At 45.2% G+C, this 21,508-nt stretch overlaps 1 protein-coding gene across 12 annotated transcripts in view, besides 1 other annotated feature; it reads right to left on the reverse strand.

The window, feature by feature from the left end:
* Window positions 1-21,508, reverse strand: part of ABHD12 (abhydrolase domain containing 12, lysophospholipase) — a 96,093-nt gene that overhangs the window by 26,872 nt on the left and 47,713 nt on the right. For 6 of the 12 annotated variants that reach the window (NM_015600.5, XM_047440090.1, NM_001042472.3 and 3 more), the window contains exons 2-3: window positions 17,613-17,737; window positions 1,711-1,816 (exon numbers count right to left, since the gene is read on the reverse strand). In NM_015600.5, the coding sequence (NP_056415.1) occupies window positions 1,711-1,816; window positions 17,613-17,737 (231 nt within the window). Of the gene's footprint in view, window positions 1-1,710; window positions 1,817-17,270; window positions 17,391-17,605; window positions 17,738-18,007; window positions 18,134-21,508 lie in introns of those variants that run through there. The other 6 variants (XM_047440089.1, XM_047440088.1, XM_047440094.1 and 3 more) reach the window with 4 other exon arrangements.
* Window positions 8,656-9,177: an enhancer, noted in NCBI's record as "H3K4me1 hESC enhancer chr20:25310906-25311427 (GRCh37/hg19 assembly coordinates)". NCBI's record gives its function as "activates a minimal SCP1, AML or CMV promoter by ChIP-STARR-seq in primed H9 embryonic stem cells {active_cell/tissue: H9 hESC(primed)}" and the evidence as "EXISTENCE:reporter gene assay evidence [ECO:0000049][PMID:30033119]".

Consider the following 21,508-nt stretch of genomic DNA (forward strand, 5'->3'; position numbering starts at 1 on the left):
AAACCTTTTCTGGTAGCTGATAATGTATGCAGGAGTTGTTAGTACTTCCAGCCTAAGTCTCACCACCATAAACACCCTCCTGCAATAGGACAGACTCATGTTAACCAAGAAGAGGGCTGACCAAGTCCCACTCAGCAGCTCTGTGCAAAACAAGTCATGCTTCAGACAGAAACCTGAGGAGTCCCACAGTCACACATTGGTCAGTAAATGCTAGATTAAATCAAATCAGGAAGTGACAAAAGACTTTAATCCCAGCACCAACTACTAAGAACAAAAATCTCCCTTCTTGTTTTATGTTCTTTACCAAGGACCACTGTTAGAAATGTCTGAATGTTCTCTCATCCACACTGGGAAGCTACTCACAGCATTTCATTTAGAAGCTTCTCACATACACAGTGGTTTTCTGAGACAGTGGAAAGCGACGTTATGGCTACTGAAAAATAAATTCAGCTAGATAAAAGGGCTGTGATTCAGGCTCACTTCTCAGAGAAAAACGGAAATGCTACAGTGAGGTTGGTCAATTTTAATTCAGCTGTTCAGAAGCACCACTTGTGTACAGAAGAAAACATTAAAATGTATTCCAAGGAGACACAGAGAAGTCACAAGGCTTATGTCCAGTGTAAACTTATGGCTTAAAAAAGTAAATACTCAGAAGACAGCCAACACCATCATCATCAGCTGGTGCGAAGCTATATGTGAAAAGAAATCAAGCTGTTTTCAGTATCTAGATGTTCACCTCTTGGAAAAGATATATATATATATATATATTTTTTTTTTTTTTTGAGACAAGAGTCTCGCTCTGTTGCCCAGGCTGGAGTGCAGTGGCATAATCTCAGCTCACTGCAGCCTCTGCCTCCTGCGTTCAAGCAATTCTCTTGCCTCAAACTCCCGGGTAGCTGGGACTACAGGCGCGTGCCACCATGCCCAGCTAATTTTTGTATTTTTTTTTCAGTAGAGACGGGGTTTCACCATGTTGTTTAGGGTGGTCTCGAACTCCTGATCTCAAGTGATCCACCCGTCTCGGCCTCCCAAAGTGCTGGGATTACAGGCGTGAGCCACCGCGCCTGGATGGAAGATATATTCAAACCAGTGTTTGTGATTCTTCCCTTATATTCTCTTTTTTTTGGACACAGAGTCTTGCTCTGTCATCCAGGCTGGAGTGCAGTGGCGTGAACTCAGCTCACTGCAACTTCTGCCTCCTGGAGTCAAGTGATCCTCCTGCCTCAGCCTCCCAAGTAGCTGGGATTACAGGTGTGCACCACCATGCCTGGCTAATTTTTGTATTTTTAGTAGAGATGGGGTTTCACCTTGTCGCCAAGGCTGGTCTCAAACTCCTGGACTCAAGTGATCCACTTGCCTCAGCCTCCCAAAGTGCTGGGATTACAGGTGTGAGCCACTGTGCCGGCCACTTATATCCTGTTTCTAGCTTCTTTGTTTGCTTTTCGTTTTTCCTAGAAACAAGTCTCTCTAAAAATAATAATCTGTTCACAAAGCCTTTGCTGTTTTGAAAGGCTGGGAATAGAGTTTAAAGCCATTGAATCCCTCAACATTAGGATGGATCAAATGTACTGAGATCTTTCCTTTAGGAAAGGAAGAGGTGAAGATAAAAATGAACAACATTTCAGAGGCCAATGTCAAAGACAGCACCAGCTCAGTCATGTAGGGTCCTTTCCTGCTGCTGGAGGGGCTGCAGAGCTCACTGGCACTCACCAGACTCCAATGGTCACGTCTTCCTCTGGCTGCAGGTAGTAGTTACACGTGTGATTCAAACCTTGATCCTGTGGTTTTTTCAAATCAATGAAATAGGGAACTCTTACTGTAGGAAATAAAGAGATGGAAATTAGGATTACTGGTGGATGAATACACACATGTACACACAAACATGCATACTCACACACGTGCACAGATATGCATCCACACGTGCACACACACACATGCACACCCACATGCACACACTGCAGAAGCTCTCAGAAAGCACCAAGTCCTTTTCCTGTGCAATCTTACAATGGTGCCAGACCTGCAGGCCCAGCCTCAGGCAGGGTATGGGCTGAGGCCAGCCAGCATGGGCAGGGACAGAGACTGCAGTGAGGGCAAGGTCTGTGTAGAGACTGGAACGCTAAGGTCTAAGGTCATTCTAGGTGTGAGAAGATGCAAATGAGGGAAGGAAAGATCCCCAACAGGTCTGAAGGATGGGCCAGCCAGGAGGGAGGCTGGGGAGGCTGAGCCTGCGAATAACTCAGGTGCCTGGTGGAGTGGGAAGGACAGCAGGAAAGGGGATGGCGCTGCAGGACCTGATGACCAACGGAACGTTGGGTGGCAAACAAGGTAAAGGGGATTCCAAAGTTTCCAGGACTGCTGCCTAACACAGAAAAGACAGCAGAAGGTGAGGTGTGGGGCAGCGAGGGGGATGAATCCATAGGACCCATGCAGAGCAGAATGAAGTCAGTGCAATGGCCCAGCAGAAGTCCTGCATCTACCAGGTCATCTGCCAGCAGGACAGCGAGTGAATTAACCAGCACCTCACACTGTGGAAGACCATGGGGCCCTTAGACCTGGAGGAACCTCCAGGACCTGCGGGCAGATGAGAGGAGCAAGGTGACTGTGGGTGCGGGTGCGGTAGCCCCACTTTGTTATTGTAAAAACATGCAAATGAAACACGACCTCCACATGTGGCTGGGAGGATATACAGAAAGACAGAAGCCAGGCTGCTCACACAGCTTCAAAGTGTGTGTGTGGGGAGAATGGGGGCAATTTTTTCCTTATATACCATTGTAGTCTTACTGCTTTTGGTGAACACAACTTTAAAATAAGTTTAACTGAAAAACAAAAAATTTAAAATAAACGCATGAACCCTGAGGTGGGATTTGCCTGCTTTATAAAATGGCAACTCCCAAAAGAGGCAATGACAGAGAGCAGTGTGGGCCTGGCTTCCCTCTGGTGGGTCCTGCCCCCGGGGAAGCTCTGCTGCTGACAGCTGTCTCTGGTGAAGACAGGGGTTGCGTGACTCCCATGTCCATGTGGCACATTGCACATCTAGCCTCACTTCCTCAAATGTCACCAGGCTGGACTCACGAGGACATGGGGACATACACACTCCTTCCCAGAAACTCCCTGAGCGTCTGTCCCAGACCATGTGGGGAGACAGTTCCTACCACCAGGGCTGCTGTTCATACCCCACCTTCTTACTCCATCTCTTTCCCAGGAAGCAGATACATCTTCAAAATTTTAGTAAGAAGTTTCTCTCAAAATAAAAAATGGCAAAGGAGATGATCCACATCCCCATTAGCTCCAGCTGAGCCAGGCTGCACAGTCTCTGAGGCAAGCCACCACCATCACCATCTGATGGCTCCTATTAGATTGCCAGCTCACATGACGGAGCTGGATTTTTTGATACCAGCCTGGGCAACACGGCAAAACCCCACCTCTACAAAAAATATAAAAATTACCCAGGTAAGGTGACATGCACCTGTGATCCCAGCCACTTGTGAGGCTGAGGAGGGAGAATCACTTGAGCCCAGGAGGTCAAGGCTGCAGTAAGCCAAGGTTGTACCACTGTACTCCAGCCTGAGTGACAGAGAGACCCTGTTTCAAAAAAAAAAAAAAAAAAAAAAAAAAAGAACTGGCTTTGAACCCGGCAGCCCGGCTGCACAGCCCTGCCTCCTGGCTGGCTGGACAGGAAGTCAGGGAGGTAATGAGCCTGGCCCCTGAGAGGCCTGGGAGGCCCGCCTGCCCTGTTATGGGCTGAGTTGTGCTCCCCAAAAAAGACTATGTTCAAGGCCTCACCCCCAGTACCTAAGAGTGTGACCTTACTTGGAAACAGTGTCTTTATGGAGGTAATCAAGCTCAAATGAGGTCACTGGGTGGATACTAACCCAACATGACTGGTATCCTTATAAAATGGGGACATTTAGACACAGAGACAGAGGGAAGACCATGAGAAGATGACCAAGAAGATGGAGAAGATGGAGGCAGAGATTTGAGGGAAGCTTCTCCAAGCCGGGAATGCTGCCAGACAGACAGGCAAGAAGGGTCCACCTCAGCATCTCAGGAGGAGCTGGGCCCACCCACACCTCGACCTCAGACTCCCAGCCTCCACAACCATGAGAGGATACATTTATTTTAAGCCACTCAGTTTGCAGGTTTGTTTGAGCGGCCCTAAGAAATAAATGCAGCCAGCCAGGCGTGGTGACTCATGCCTGTAAACCTAGCACTTTGGGAGGCCGAGGCAGGTGGATCACCTGAGGTCAGGAGTTCGAGACCAGCCTGGCCAACATGGCAAAACCCCGTCTCTACTAAAAATATAAAAATTAGCCAGGCGTGGTGGTGTGCACCTATAATCCCAGCTACTTGGGAGCCTGAGGCAGGAGAATGGCTTGAACCCGGGAAGAGGAGGTTGCAGTGAGCTGAGATCATGCCACTTCACTCCAGCCTTGATGAAAGAGTGAGACTCTGTCCAAAAAAAAAAAAAGAAAAGAAAAAAGAAAGGAAAGAAGTGAAGGGGAGGGGAGGGGAGGGAAGGGAAGGGAAGAAAGAGAAGAGAGAGGAAGGAAGGAAGGGAGAGAGGTAGGGAGGGAGTGGGGGGAGGGAAAGAAAGGAAAGAAAGGAAAGCAAGGAAGGCTCTTCTGCAACAGGAAACAATTGAAGAAACTGGTTATTTTACCAAGGCTTTGACTGGAATGGCCTGCTTTCCTTTAAGGATTCAAAGGACTTATAGCGCCAATAAAAGCCCCGTGGGTAAAACTGGCCTCATAACTTGTCTATACAGTCCCCATACAGGGCTCCTGACCTGTGGTAAAGAATGTCACTTTCTAATAGGCCCAGGAGGCCCAAGTTATTTTAGGACCTCAAGAGGAGAGGAATTTACCAAACTCATAGGTATTTGAGGATAGAAACCCATGGCTGGACTCAGCTTTTAAAAAGTCTTATCTGAGATTCCTTATGGAACAGAGTTCTATCAAAGCCAATTCTAGAAGCCTATGTAAAAAATAATTACTTGTGTTGCACTTTATGCAAATAATCAGGCCAAGTATATAATAAGACTAAAGTTTATTTTGCAAACAAATCAGTCCTATAATGATTTGTTTTTTAATAAACATGGGGACTGGAGAGAGAAAAATTATGCTTCAAAAAAAAACAACAACAACAACTATGGTATACCTGTTGTTAGCTGTTCTTGTATTTTTCCTGCAGTTTGGAAGGACTAAATCTTAAATTCTTTGTGGGCTACAAGTCACCAAACTAATGCATTCCAATTTTTACTTTTAAAATTGGGAATTGCACTCCTTACCTTAGTCCCCATTATTAACCTTATAGTACACTGTTCCCTTAAATGCAGTGCTAAAACTATAGATGACAATAGTAATGCCTTTGCCATGCAAGCCGTGGATCCCCAGCCATGCCTGTGTGAGTATGCCCAGAATGTTGCAAAGTGGTTCCATTCCTTTCACCTTGGGGTAAACACCTACCCCCACTACACCCCTGGCCAGCAGGAAGAAGTTAGAGCTGTCTTTGCCCTTTCTCCATCTTCATTAGCTAATGCCTTAAGATTAAGGTGTTATGAAACCCAAAGGGGTGCCAGGCGCGGTGGCGCATGCCTATAATCCCAGCACTTTGGGAGGCCGAGGTGGGCAGATCACGAGGTCAGGAGTTTGAGACCAGCCTGGCCAACATAGTGAAACCCTGTCTCTACTAAAAATACAAAAATTAGCCGGGCATGGTGGTGAGTGCCTGTAGTCCCAGCTACTCGGGAGCCTGAGGCAAGAGAATTGCTTGAACCCGGGAGTCAGAGATTGCAGTGAGCTGAGATCACGCCATTGCACTTCAGTCCGGGCGACAGAACAAGACTCCGTCTCAAAAAAAAAAAAAAAGAAAGGGAGGGATTGAAACTACCATTGCAAAACTATAACTGAGACAGTGAAAGAGATCTGACCTAACTGACTCCATCTAGCTTCTAACCTCCATGCTGTCCTTGTTTACTCCTGGGCATAGGCTAAACTAATTTTGGGAGGAACTTAGTTTATAGTTTAAAGCGAAGATGATACCCTTTTCTGGAAACAAACCTCCTTGCCTGGGGACTAGACTGCCTTTATAGGACTAACATTTTGGCCACAAGATTGGAAATTGTTGTGGTTTAGGAGTCATGAAGCTGGAGGCTACAAGATTCTGACCCTCCCCAAATTGCTCCTGGTGATAAAATCACTATTGTAAAACCTAAGACCAGTGCTTGAGATATTTTGCAGACCCTCAACTTGATGGACCAGCTGGCACCATCCAGATTGATAAACTAGCTCATCTGATCTTGTGGCCCCCACCCAAGAACCGACTCAGCGCAAGAAGACAGCTTTGACTCCCTATGATTTCATCTCTGACCTGACCATCAGCACTTCCAGCTCACTGGCTTCCCCACACCCACCAAGTTGTCCTTAAAAACTCTGATCCCTGAATGCTACGGGAGAGTGATTTGAGTAATAACAAAACGCCAGTCTCCTGGAAAAAAAAAAAAAAGAACACAGCCATACAAGAATTTAGATTTTATCCTGGCAATGGGACCCGGAGAAGGCTCCCGACCAGAGGAATGCCTGGAAAGTGGGTCCACTTCAGGATCTGGAGTGGGAAAGTGAGTCCACTTCAGACTCTAGGGCCCACTCCTGCCACCTCATCCTGGGAATTCACCACACACTTTGGGAGCCTGAGAGCTGCAGCCCAGGGTGCAAGTCTATAATCTGACAGCTGGGAGCGGGGGTAGCCTCCTCAATACAACTCTGAATATCCACACCTGGGGCCCAGTGCCCATCCCACATCTAGACCCACTCAGCCAAATCCTGCCTCTGACGCTGGAACCAGCCCTGACTCTGACAGATGGGGAGTGGGCACCACTGAGGGCCGAGGACACTGGGCTTCCACTGGCTCCGCTTCAGGCCTCACTCAGTTCTGTGTCTGCAGAAGAATGCCAAGCTCTTGGAACACAAACTGTCCAAGAGTTCTGAGAGCATTCCCTGGCCACTGAAAAGTATTTTACAAGGATTAGCAGCTAATCCAGAAAACTTCCAAGCCCAAGAAATCTAAGAACTAGGAACCCAAATTCTACTCCAGGATGGCCTCATTCCAGGAAGCCAGTCTTCCAGTTCACTTTTACTCATTTTAGAAACAACCATGAAAAGGAGGCACAGTGACTACTCTCCATGAAAAGCATCCCCCAGATGCTGCCTGGCACCTTCTCTTCCACAGCAGCACCTCCAACCAGCATCAAGTGGCATGGGAGGCATGGAGCTTGGTTGGTCCCAGGGATCACACAGCCCCAGAGCGGGGTGGCTGTAGGAACCCCGTGGCCAGTATTACTCTAAATGAGCAGAAATGCCTCAAAGTGAGATGAGTGGTGAGACGGGTTGGCGTGCGCAGGGTCACAGGATCCACCCAGGGCCAGAAGCACTGCTGGCTCACTCCTGCAGGCCAGTGCCAGGCGAGTGCCAGGACCCTCTGGCCTCCCACGTGGTCAGATCACCCTTGGCCACTGACTCTTTGTGGCCCCCGTGACTCCAGCATGCTGGCTGGAGTCCACCCTGCCCAGGCCCCTGCTTCATCCACAGGCCTGGGGTGGGGACAGAGTGCTAAGCCCTGTGGCAGCCCCACAGGAGTGGCCTGGGCGGTGCGCCCCTTCATGCTCCACCATTGAGGTCCAACTCTCTCATGGCTCCCTCTCGCAGGCTCTTCTGAACCGGGAGCTCCTCATACAGGCCCCCGCACCATGGGCAAACAAGGCCCACAGGGCTGCTGGGACTGAGGCCTCTGGCTGCTCCTGCTTCCCCCAGTTTTCACTGTCCACCCCCCAGTTTTCATTGTCCACCCTCCAGTCACGTCATCATGTACCAGCAACCACAAACATCAACGGGCAGGATGGAGAATGGATCCTGCACACATGGGTGCCGTGGAGGGTGAAGAAGTGAGAATGTGAGTGAATGGAAAACGACCTGCTCTGTCATACTTCTTTTAGCTCACCTGCAAAATATTTGTTGCGGGAAAGGCTGAAACTTACTGAGCTGTGATGGTCTTTGAGTGCTGAGGGTCTGAACAGGGGGCTAAGTCTCATTCCAATCACTGTGAGTAACAGAGCAGCCTTGATACCGGCAGCCATAAGAGGTGTGGTGTCAAGGGAAAGCCTGGGTTGGTTATTTGGGTTTTATCAAATTCCAATTACCTGATGCAGGCTTACAGGACCTTCCGTATGAAAAAAGGGGATAAGAAAAGAAAGGTAACAGGAGTCAACAGGGACTGCTCAGGGGAAGGAAAAAGAGGAAGCTGGCCCTTTGCTTTAAAAACAAATGCATGGAATTGTGTTGAGGGAGGAGCCAAGATGGCCAAATAGGAACAGCTCCAGTCTACAGCTCCCAGCGTGAGCGACACAGAAGACGGGTGATTTCTGCATTTCCATCTGAGGTACCAGGTTCATCTCACTAGGGAGTGCCAGACAGTGGGCGCAGGTCAGTGGGTACGCGCACCGTGCGCAAGCCAAAGCAGGGCAAGGCATTGCCTCACTCGGGAAGCGCAAGGGGTCAGGGAGTTCCCTTTCCTAGTCAAAGAAAGTGGTGACAGACGGCACCTGGAAAATCGGGTCACTCCCACCCGAATACTGTGCTTTTCCGACTGGCTTAAAAAACGGCACAACAGGAGATTATATCCCGCACATGGCTCGGAGGGTCCTACGCCCACGGAGTCTCGCTGATTGCTAGCACAGCAGTCTGAGATCAAACTGCAAGGCAGCAGCGAGGCTTGGGGAGGGGCGCCCGCCATTGCCCAGGCTTGCTTAGGTAAACAAAGCAGCCAGGAAGCTCAAACTGGGTGGAGCCCACCACAGCTCAAGGAGGTCTGCCTGCCTCTGTAGGCTCCACCTCTGGGGGCAGGGCACAGACAAAGAAAAAGACAGCAGTAACCTCTGCAGACTTAAATGTCCCTGTCTGACAGCTCTGAAGAGAGCGGTGGTTCTCCCAGCACGCACCTGGAGATCTGAGAACGGGCAGAATGCCTCCTCAAGCGGGTCCCTGACCCCTGACCCCCGAGCAGCCTAACTGGGAGGCAACCCCCAGCAAGGGCAGACTGACACCTCACACGGCTGGGTACTCCAACAGACCTGCAGCTGAGGGTCCTGTCTGTTAGAAGGAAAACTAACAAACAGAAAGGACATCCACACCAAAAACCCATCTGTACATCACCATCATCAAAGACCAAAAGTAGATAAAACCACAAAGATGGGGAAAAAAAAGAGCAGAAAAACTGGAAACTCTATAAAGCAGAGCGCCTCTCCTCCTCCAAAGGAACGCAGTTCCTCACCAGCAACGGAACAAAGCTGGACGGAGAATGACTTTGACTAGCTGAGAGAAGAAGGCTTCAGACGATCAAATTACTCCAAGCTACGGGAGGACATTCAAACCAAAGGCAAAGAAGTTGAAAACTTGGAAAAAAATTTAGAAGAATGTATAACTAGAATAACCAATACAGAGAAGTGCTTAAAGGAGCTGATGGAGCTGAAAACCAAGGCTCGAGAACTACGTGAAGAATGCAGAAACCTCAGGAGCCAATGCGATCAACTGGAAGAAAGGGTATCAGTGATGGAAGATGAAATGAAGCAAGAAGGGAAGTTTAGAGAAAAAAGAATAAAAAGAAACGAGTAAAGCCTCCAAGAAATATGGGACTATGTGAAAAGACCAAATCTACGTCTGATTGGTGTACCTGAAAGTGACGGGGAGAATGGAACCAAGTTGGAAAACACTCTGCAGGATATTACCCAGGAGAACTTCCCCAATCTAGCAAGGCAGGCCAACATTCAGATTCAGGAAATACAGAGAACGCCACAAAGATACTCCTCGAGAAGAGCAACACCAAGACACATAATTGTCAGATTCACGAAAGTTGAAATGAAGGAAAAAATGTTAAGGGCAGCAAGAGAGAAAGGTCAGGTTACCCTCAAAGGGAAGCCCATCAGACTAAAAGCAGACCTCTCGGCAGAAACTCTACAAGCCAGAAGAGAGTGGGGGCCAATATTCAACATTCTTAAAGAAAAGAATTTTCAACCCAGAATTTCACATCCAGCCAAACTAAGCTTCATAAGTGAAGGAAAAATAAAATACTTTACAGACAAGCAAATGCTGAGAGATTGTGTCACCACCAGGCCTGCCCTAAAAGACCTCCTGAAGGATGCGCTAAACATGGAAAGGAAAAACCGGTACCAGCCACTGCAAAATCATGCCAAAATGTAAAGACCATCGAGACTAGGAAGAAACTGCATCAACTAATGAGCAAAATAACCAGCTAACATCATAATGACAGGATCAAATTCACATATAACAATATTAACTTTGAATGTAAATGGACTAAATGCTCCAATTAAAAGACACAGACTGGCAAATTGGATAAAGAGTCAAGACCCATCAGTGTGCTGTATTCAGGAAACCCATCTCACGTGCAGAGACACACATAGGTTCAAAATAAAAGGATGGAGGAAGATCTACCAAGCAAATGGAAAACAAAAAAAGGCAGGGGTTGCAATCCTAGTCTCTGATAAAACAGACTTTAAACCAACAAAGATCAAAAGAGACAAAGAAGGCCATTACTTAATGGTAAAGGGATCAATTCAACAAGAAGAGCTAACTATCCTAAATATATATGCACCCAATACAGGAGCACCCAGATTCATAAAGCAAGTCCTGAGTGACCTACAAAGAGACTTAGACTCCCACACATTAATAATGGGAGACTTTAACAACCCACTGTCAACATTAGACAGATCAACGAGACAGAAAGTCAACAAGGATACCCAGGAATTGAACTCAGCTCTGCACCAAGAAGACCTAATAGACATCTACAGAACTCTCCACCCCAAATCAACAGAATATACATTTTTTTCAGCACCACACCACACCTATTCCAAAATTGACCACATCCTTGGAAGTAAAGCTCTCCTCAGCAAATGTAAAAGAACAGAAATTATAATAAACTATCTCTCAGACCACAGTGCAATCAAACTAGAACTCAGGATTAAGAAACTCACTCAAAACAGCTCAACTACATGGAAACTGAACAACCTGCTCCTGAATGACTACTGGGTACATAACAAAATGAAGGCAGAAATAAAGATGTTCTTTGAAACCAACGAGAACAAAGACACAACATACCAGAATCTCTGGGACACATTCAAAGCAGTGTGTAGAGGGAAATTTATAGCACTAAATACCCACAAGAGAAAGCAGGAAAGATCCAAAATTGACACCCTAACATCACAATTAAAAGAACTAGAAAAGCAAGAGCAAACACATTCAAAAGCTAGCAGAAGGCAAGAAATAACTAAAATCAGAGCAGAACTGCAGGAAATAGAGACACAAACAACCCTTCAAAAAATTAATGAATCCAGGAGCTGGTTTTTCGAAAGGATCAACAAAATTGATAGACCACTAGCAAGACTAATAAAGAAGAAAAGAGAGAAGAATCAAATAGACGCAATAAAAAACGATAAAGGGGATATCACCACTGATCCCACAGAAATACAAACTACCATCAGAGAACATTACAAACACCTCTATGAAAATAAACTAGAAAATCTAGAAGAAATGGATATATTCCTCGACACATACACCCTCCGAAGACTAAACCAGGAAGAAATTCAATCTCTGAATAGACCAATAACAGGAGCTGAAATTGTGGCAATAATCAATAGCTTACCAACCTAACAGAGTCCAGGACCAGATGGATTCACAGCTGAATTCTACCAGAGGTACAAGGAGGAACTGGTACCATTCCTTCTGAAACTATTCCAATCAACAGAAAAAGAGGGAATCCTCCCTAACTCATTTTATGAGGCCAGCATCATCCTGATACCAAAGCCGGGCAGAGACACAACCAAAAAAGAGAATTTTAGACCAATATCCTTGATGAACATTGATGCAAAAATCCTCAATAAAATACTGGCAAACCTAATCCAGCAGCACATCAAAAAGCATATCCACCATGATCAAGTGGGTTTCATCCCTGGGATGCAAGGTTGGTTCAATATACGCAAATCAATAAATGTAATCCAGCATATAAACAGAACCAAAGACAAAAACCACATGATTATCTCAATAGATGCAGAAAAGGCCTCTGACAAAATTCAACAACCCTTCATGCTAAAAACTCTCAATAAATTCGGTATTGATGGGACACATCTCAAAATAATAAGAGCTATCTATGACAAACCCACAGCCAATATCATACTGAATGGGCAAAAACTGGAAGCATTCCCTTTGAAAACTGGCAGAAGACAGGGATGCCCTCTCTCACCACTCATATTCAACACAGTGTTGGAAGTGCTGGCCGGGGCAATTAGGCAGGAGAAGGAAATAAAGGGTATTCAATTAGGAAAAGAGGAAGTCAAATTGTCCCTGTTTGCAGATGACATGATGGTATATCTAGAAAACCCCATTGTCTCAGCCCAAAATCTCCTTAAGCTGATAAGCAACTTCAGCAAAGTCTCAGGATACAAAATCAATGTACAAAAATCACAAGCATTCTTATACACCAACAACAGACAGAGAGCCAAATCATGAGTGAACTCCCATTCACAATTGCTTCAAAGAGAATAAAATACTTAGGAATCCAACTTACAAGGGATGTGAAGGACCTCTTCAAGGAGAACTACAAACCACTACTCAAGGAAATAAAAGAGGATACAAACAAATGGAAGAACATTCCATGCTCATGGGTAGGAAGAATCAATATCGTGAAAATGGCCATACTGCCCAAGGTAATTTACAGATTCAATGCCATCCCCATCAAGCTACCAATGACTTTCTTCACAGAATTGGAAAAAACTACTTTAAAGTTCATACGGAACCAAAAAAGAGCCTGCATCGCCAAGTCAATCCTAAGCCAAAAGAACAAAGCTGGAGGCATCACACTACCTGGTTTCAAACTATACTACAAGGCTACAGTAACCAAAACAGCATGGTACTGGTACCAAAACAGAGATATAGATCAATGGAACAGAACAGAGCCCTCAGAAATAACACCGCATATCTGCAACTATCTGATCTTTGACAAACCTGAGAAAAACAAGCAATGGGGAAAGGATTCCCTATTTAATAAATGGTGCTGGGAAAACTGGCTAGCCATATGTAGAAAGCTGAAACTGGATCCCTTCCTTACACCTTATACAAAAATCAATTCAAGATGGATTAAAGACTTAAACGTTAGACCTAAAACCATAAAAACCCTAGAAGAAAACCTAGGCATTACCATTCAGGACATAGGCATGGGCAAGGACTTCATGTCTAAAACACCAAAAGCAATGGCAACAAAAGCCAAAATTGACAAATGGGATCTAATTTAACTAAAGAGCTTCTGCACAGCAAAAGAAACTACCATCAGAGTGAATAGGCAACCTACAAAATGGGAGAAAATTTTCACAACCTACTCATCTGACAAAGGGCTAATATCCAGAATCTACAATGAACTCAAACAAATTTACAAGAAAAAAACAAACAACCCCATCAAAAAGTGGGCGAAGGACATGAACAGACACTTCTCAAAAGAAGACAGTTATGTAGCCAAAAAAACACATGAAAAAATGCTCACCATCACTGGCCATTGGAGAAATGCAAATCAAAACCACAATGAGATACCATTTCACACCAGTTAGAATGGCAATCATTAAAAAGTCAGGAAACAACAGGTGCTGGAGAGGATGTGGAGAAATAGGAACACTTTTACACTGTTGGTGGGACTGTAAACTAGTTCAACCATTGTGGAAGTCAGTGTGGGGATTCCTCAGGGATCTAGAACTAGAAATACCATTTGACCCAGCCATCCCATTACTGGGTATATACCCAAAGGACTATAAATCATGCTGCTATAAAGACACATGCACACGTATGTTTATTGCGGCATTATTCACAATAGCAAAGACTTGGAACCAACCCAAATGTCCAACAATGATAGACTGGATTAAGAAAATGTGGCACATATACACCATGGAATACTATGCAGCCATAAAAAATGATGAGTTCATGTCCTTTGTAGGGACATGGATGAAATTGGAAATCATCATTCTCAGTAAACTATTGCAAGATCAAAAAACCAAACACCGCATATTCTCACTCATAGGTGGGAATCGAACAATGAGAACACATGGACACAGGAAGGGGAACATCACACTCTGGGAACTGTTGTGGGGTGGGGGGAGGGGGGAGGGATAGCATTGGGAGATATACCTAATGCTAGATGACGAGTTAGTGGGTGCAGCACACCAGCATGGCACATGTATACATATGTAACTAACCTGCACATTGTGCACATGTACCCTAGAATTTAAAGTATAATAATAATAAATAAAAAAAAAACAAAAAACAAATGCATGATGATAGATCTGACCTATTTCCAAAAAAGCCCTCCCTAGCCTCTGAACCAAGACATGACTTTCACTAAGAGATACCTTCTTGATCTGAAGGCAAATAACGGCTGGGAAGATATTCTAGGCTTCATAAATGCTGAGTCTCATCCAAACATCTTTTGGATGGAATCAGACTGTGCATACAAGTATTGAAAAGCACATATATTTATGTGCATGTAAACAGACACATATAAAAAAGGTCAGTAGGAAATAAACTACGGTGTTAACAAGCATTTTCTCAGAGTAATGTTCATTTTCTTATTTATACTATTCAGGGTTCTTTTTTTTTTTAGCTAATTCTTTGTTTTTAGAATAATCATGATGTTTTGCTTATGAAAATGTATTTAAAGTAGAATAATGCCTTACATTGTAGGTGCTATGTTTCTTTAAAAGCTTATTTATCTAATTTATAAATTTGGTTTCAGATAGATTTGCTGTGAAGAATATTTTAACCACATTCTGGGGCCCAAGAGATTGCTACTTTTCCTGTAATGTTGAATGGATGCCCAGGTCAGGCTTCTTGTCTGGGCACAAGAGCAGAGGCACCTCCCCAACAAAATTCCAAATCACTGCAGGGCCACGCCACAGACCCCACCTCCTCGGCGACGCAGACAGGCACAGACCTGTAAACCTTGGACGCACATTACAACTGGAAAACCAACAAGCTCCATGCTGCTCCTCTGAAGACTGCCTTTCCTCCCAAAGGGGGAGACAGAGAACCACACTTGGAAGGGCCTCATGTGCTGATAAAACACTGTGGCTTCCCGGGGAGGACAGCGGGGCCTGGAGATGAGGGTCGCTCATCATGGAGAGGCAGGAGGAGTGGGGTGTGGGGGCCAGGCAGATGCCCAGGGGGGTGAGGCGAAAGGAATGTCCAATCGCTGCTCCCAGGGACACTGTTTCTTGGTGCTAGACCTTTGGCAACTAAAAATCTCTTTCAGAAACACCACAGGGCTGGGTGCAATGGCTCACGCCTGTAATCCCAGCACGTTGGGAGGCCAAGGCAGGAGGATTGTTTGAGCCCAGGAGTTTGAGGCCAGCCTGGGCAACATGGCAAAACCCCATCTCTACTAAAAATATAAAAAATTAGCCAGACGTTGTGGTGGTGGGTGCCTGGAGTCCCAGCAACTCAGGAGGCTAAGGTGGGAGGATCACCTGAACCTGGGAGGTCGAGGCTGCAGTGAGCCGTGATCATACCCCTGCAGTCCAGCTGGGGCAACAGAGCCACGCCCTGTCTCAGAACAAAACAAAACAACAAAACAAAATGCCACTGTAGGCTCACCTAACTCCAGTGTGGCAAACAGGTGGAAGGAAATCGTTAAGGATGGGCAACACCTTGGGAGGCTCAGCCTCCCCTTGCCCAAGCCCAGCCCTCCTCTCCCATGCCATGGGGCTGGACCAGGAGAACCCAAAGTTCTCCTCCCTCAGAGCAGTCTACCACCTCCTTAGGAAACCCACAGAACAAAATCTGTAGGCTGTGTGTCTACAGTAGCCCAAACAATCAAGCTAAAGAAAATCTATTCAATTCAAACATTTGCTGGGAGCCCACAATGTACCAGGCCACGCAGGGCAATGCACCCCACACCCTCCCTTCAAGAACCAGCTCATGTGCCTGGCAGCAAAGGCACCTGCCCAAGGGGGCCAGCAAAGGTAGAAAAGCCATGAGGGTCAAGTCTGAGGTCTGCTGATGGTGAATCTGCAGCCCTTGTAGCTTCGTGTTTATACCTAAGCCCCAAATGCTTTCTGGGCTGTACTGTGTACATTTAAGGAACATTAAAGTCAGAAAAACAAAACTCCCATCATTTTGGTATACTGTTAGTTTCTTTTTGAGTTTGTGCTTCTCACAAGTGACAAAACTTAGAGATGAAAAATTCCTAGAAGTTCTACTTTTCCATTAGAAAAATCAAATGCCTCTTAGTATACTACATGTGTTTTACAGTTATTTTAAGACACCCAAATAAAAACTCAGATTTACAAAGTATTAAATAGCCTTATAATTTATGTTCTTCTTACCGGCATTAAAAAAAACAAAAACAAAGAAACAGAAATTCCTTTTTTAGCCAGTCATCTCCTAAGTTTCTGTGATTAAGTCTATTATAGACTGAACACCCAAACTCATAAGCCCAGATGCCTGCAGAGGGAGTCCGGCACCTCTCAGTACCTCCTGTGTTCCTCTGCGGCCTCCTCCTTTCCTCCTCCTCCCACTCCACCAGCTTACCTGCTGCCTCAGCAATATCAGGCCCAGCTTTCCAAGCCTCAAACTCCCAAACGCATAAGGCCAGACTCACTATGTGCAAACCAATCTAGCCACAGAGTGACCCCAGAGCCCCTGCCTCATCCTGTTCTAATGCTGTCAGCACCTGCCTCTCAGGCTGTCCTTCACAGAACACCCACCGTGTGCGAGCCCCGTTGTTCTCAAACCTCGAACCCACAGATGCGGCCCTTTCCTTGGAGCCTCGCTTGTAGGACTGTTCCCAGGGCCATGTGCCCAGAGCCTCTGCCTTTGACCTCATGGGCTTGATACTTCTGCACCTTTCTCCTCCCACATCTCCAAAAGTAAATACACAGCGTGAAAAAACACACAAGGTCCAAGTTCACTCAAGGAGACTACAATACCTACAAGGCCAGCACAAAATTCCACAGAAACCAAAGTACTGTGTATCTGGATTTTTTTAAGGGTATAAAAAACTAATTTGTTTTAAAAAAGAAAAAAGGCCTCATTTTTTTTTAAAGGTACTATATTTTTCAGTGGTCATCTTTTCCAAGGGCAGCTAGGCTCCTGGAATGCACAACTGACAAGGCATCTCCAACATGATGGCTTCAGCTGACTTCTCATGTTGTCAACATTTTTACTCACCTCAGCTGAAGACAGATACGCTGGTCCCCCAGGGCAGTGTAGTCTTCTGTGGACAGAAATCCAGTGCTGGGGAGCAACACTAGCACAGAAAGTCCTCCAGCTGGGAAGGGGCACAGGGACCTTTTTGGGTAATAAAAGCATTCTAGTTCTCAATCTGGGTGGTAGCTCTACCTATCTATCTCTAAAGATATAGGTATATAAACTGTACACTTAAGATATGTACCCTTCACTGTATGTAAACTAAATCTCCATTAAAGTAAAAAGACTACCCCTAAAATCAGACATCACCATGAAAATGAACCCTTACTAAAATTAAAGGAAAAATGGACACATACCACTTACCGAAATTCAAGAAAATCAGTTTGGCCTGTATTCCAGGACATAGTTTGATGAGAAATGGAATGGCAATGTACAACCCCAAAACACAGAAAAGTATCTTCCTCAGGCGCAACCACACGCCCTTTCGCCTGCAAGAGAAAAGCAATGAATAGGTCAGAAGGCAGTAGGTGCCATTTTGCTGTAGTTTGTTAATAGTGTTATCAAAATCCCTAAACAAGAGCCACACATATTTTTTTTTCCACAAGGATACTGCCAATAATAAAAGTAGCCTCCCACCTGCCTTCACTCAAGTAATTATTTTACATAGTCTTTTAATTTGGGCTTAGAACTCTACTGGGGGTAAGAGGAACTTTTTTTCTTGAAAGACATAGAAATAGCTAATGATTTCTTACACTCACCCTTGCAGAAGAATACAGCAGAGAAAGCAGACCCCACCATGCCCCCCACCTGACATCAGACCCCAGCTGTAACCTCGTATCAGGAAAGAGCGGCCTCCTCAGGCCTCCCGATCCGTCTTCTGTGAGACAACTGCAGGCAGGCGTAGGTTACTTATTAGCTCCTGGTAGGAAGCACGTAGACCAAGGACATCAACAGAACCTGCCTGACCAGGTCCTCAGAGAGCAGGAGGCTAAGAACTGGCACGGTGTGTCCTTGCATTTACGCGTGGGCGAGCCCCTCTGTACCCACCCAACAGAGGACCCTTTTCCAGGCCCGTCAAGCCAGGTCGCCAGCCCAGGGTCTCATGACCCTCTTCTAATTCCTCTCCAGCTCCAGAGTTCTTATCTTGTTCCCAAACCCCCTTTCAAAACTATCTCTAACCCGGTGATTCTCAAATTCCTTGGTCTCAGGACTTCTCTACAGTACAAAATTGAGGACCCTACAGAGCTTCTGCTCAAAGAGCTTCTTTACTTCTTATTTGACAGACAGTCATAAACAGTTTATATTTATGATGATCTGTCATATGAGAAATCAAAGATATTTAAAAATGTCTATTAATTCATCTAATAATAACAATCCATTACATGTTGCTATAAACAATATTTGTTATGAAAAATAATTTTCCAATACAAAAAATTTTAGTGAGAAGAAAAAAAATTTTAGTGAGGAGTGACATTAACATTTTTATAAATTTCTTTAAGCCAGAGAGTTTAACAGAAAGATTGACTCTCCTATCTGCTTCTGCATGCAATCTGCTGTGAATCCACATATCATGTGTCATCTGGAAAACCTCACTGCACACCCATGAGAGGAGTGTGAAAAAAGGCAAATCACACCTTGGCATTATTATGGAAATCAGTCTGACCTTACTGACCCTCTGCAAGGATCTGGGAACAGAAAGAGTGCCAGGGGCACACCTGCAGGACCACTGCTCTAACTTGCCATATGACTCTAAACCTAGTGGGACAAGCTATCTCTGGACAATTTCCAAACAGTCTTAAAACCACATATTGAACTGCTGATACAAGCAACAATACAGATGAATCTCAAAAGGACTGTTATGTTAAATAAGACATCCACAAAAGACTGTATACTATATAATTCCACGTCTAAAATTCTAGAAAAGGCAGAACTCTAAGGACAGAAAAACAGAACAGAGGTTGCTGAGGCTGGGGGTGGAGCAGGAGATTGACTGCAAGGGCCAGGAGAGGGTCTTGGAGTGATGGAACATACTTTACCTTGATGTGGCTGTGGTCACATGATGGCACACATTTATCAAGACTCACTGAACTGTATACTTAGAATCCATGAACTTTGCTATATGTAAATAATCTCAATAAAACTGATGTAAATAAGTTAATAAAGCTGACAAACACCTCAATAAAGCTGATGACAAATATGCACATCCGATAATGTAACTCATTCACTCATTTTCCTGGTTCATTCAGAGATCATCATCGAGCGCCTGGCACTCTGAAGTGGTGGACAGTCAGGGCAGCAAAGGATGGCGCCCGCACTTGTGCTGTGCTCACAGCCCAGTGGGCGTTAATCAAGCACAAGGGCCATGGCAGGCTTGGTGAGAGGTACCTGCTGCTGGGGATACTGCTGCTGGGGTTACTGCCCAGGGTGATCTGAGCTAGCTGGGCTACCAGGGACAAGGCCATTGGACTGACACAGTAAGTCAGGAATACAAGAGTTAACTAGATGATGGGGAAAACAGTTTAAAATGTCATCTTAAACGCCATACATGATCTAGCTTTTCAATGAGGGTACATTAATCACAATATTGAGGTTCAAAGTGCCACCTCTGAAGTCTGGTTCAACATCTAACCCATCACTTACTAGCTGTGCAATCTTGAATGAGTTATTTAACCTCTCTGAGCCTTGTTCTCCTTAATGCTTGGTGGGGATGATAATGGTACCTCCTTTGTGTAGGTTCCTGGAAGGATTACACACAGTAACACATGTAGACTGCACATGTGAGTCCTTGCACCAAACCTGCAACACATCTTAGCTTCCATCACCAACTCTTTATTCTTGTTAGAGAAAAGAGCAGGGTCTGACACAGCTAACGGCCCTGGCAGGGAGAAACTGGGTATAATGTGAGAGGCGGGAAGAGGACCAGAAAGACTCAGGACGTTATCCTGAGAGAAAACGAAAAGCCCATTAAAAAGAAAAAAGCCTGCAATCAAGTGTGCCACCACTTCAATGCCTGGCGCCTATGCTTGGATCATCTGCTCTGGCACCTGCAGTTACTTCTGTGTCCCTCCCACAATCTACTTACTCATCCTTCAGCACCTGCACAGATCTCTGCCTTACTGTAAGGCATCAAGTGGTTTGCAATTTTGTGCCTCAAGAGAAAGGAAAGCCTATGTCCACAGAAAGACTTGTTCAAAAATGTTCACAGCTTCAGCCTGGGCAACAACAGTGAAACTCTGTCTCAAAAAAAAAAAAAAAAAAAAAAAAGTTCACAGCTTTACTCACAGTAGCCAAAAACAGAAACAACCCAAATGGCCATCAATGAGTGAATGGATAAACAAACCATGGTATGCCCTTAGAATGGAATACAATGCAGCAATAAAATGGAATAAACTATTGATACATGCAACCACGTAGATGAATCTCAAAATAATTCACTAAGCAATAGAAACCACCTGAAAGATGGCCAGGTCACTGGCAGATTTTCACTGATACATGATTTCACCCAAAAGGTATCTCTATTCATTAGCAAAACCAGTACAGACACACCACATTTTATTGCACTTCACTTTACTGCACTTTGCAGATACCACATTTTTTTTTTTTTTTTTTTACAAATTCAAGGTTTGTGGCAACTCTGCACTGAGCAAGTCTGTCAGTGCCATTTTTCCAACATTCCAACAGCATGTGCTCACTTTGTATCTTTGGGTCAGTATTTTTTACCGGTAAAGTTTTTTTGTTGTTGTTGTTTGCTTTGAGATGAGGTCTCGTTCTGTCACCCAAGCTGGAGTGCGGTGGCACAATTATAGCTCACTGCAGCCTCAACCTCCCAGGTCCAAGCCATCCTCCCACCTTGGCCTCCCAAGTAGCTCAGACCACCATACCCAGCCAGGTTTATTTTTTATTTTGTAGATACGAGGTCTCCCTATATTGCCCAGGCTGGTCTTGAACTCCTGGGCTCAAGTGATCCTACCATCTTGGCCTTCCAAAGGGTTGGGGTTATAGGTGTGAGCCACAACCTCCCAGACTCAAGTGATCCTCCCACCTGAGTCCCCTGAGTAGCTGGGGCTGTTATAGGCATGTGCCACTATGCCCAGCTAATTTTTAAATTTTTCGTAGGGACAGTGTCTCCCTATGTTGCCCAGGCTGGTCTCAAACTCCTGGGCTAGGGCAATCCACCTACCTTGGCCTCCCAAAGTGCTGGGATTACAGGCATGAGCCACCACACCTGGCCTAAAGTATTTTTAAATTAAGGTATGTAC

This window comes from Homo sapiens, chromosome 20 (genome assembly GCF_000001405.40).
Source record: "Homo sapiens chromosome 20, GRCh38.p14 Primary Assembly".
Taxonomy (NCBI): Eukaryota; Metazoa; Chordata; class Mammalia; order Primates; family Hominidae; genus Homo; species Homo sapiens.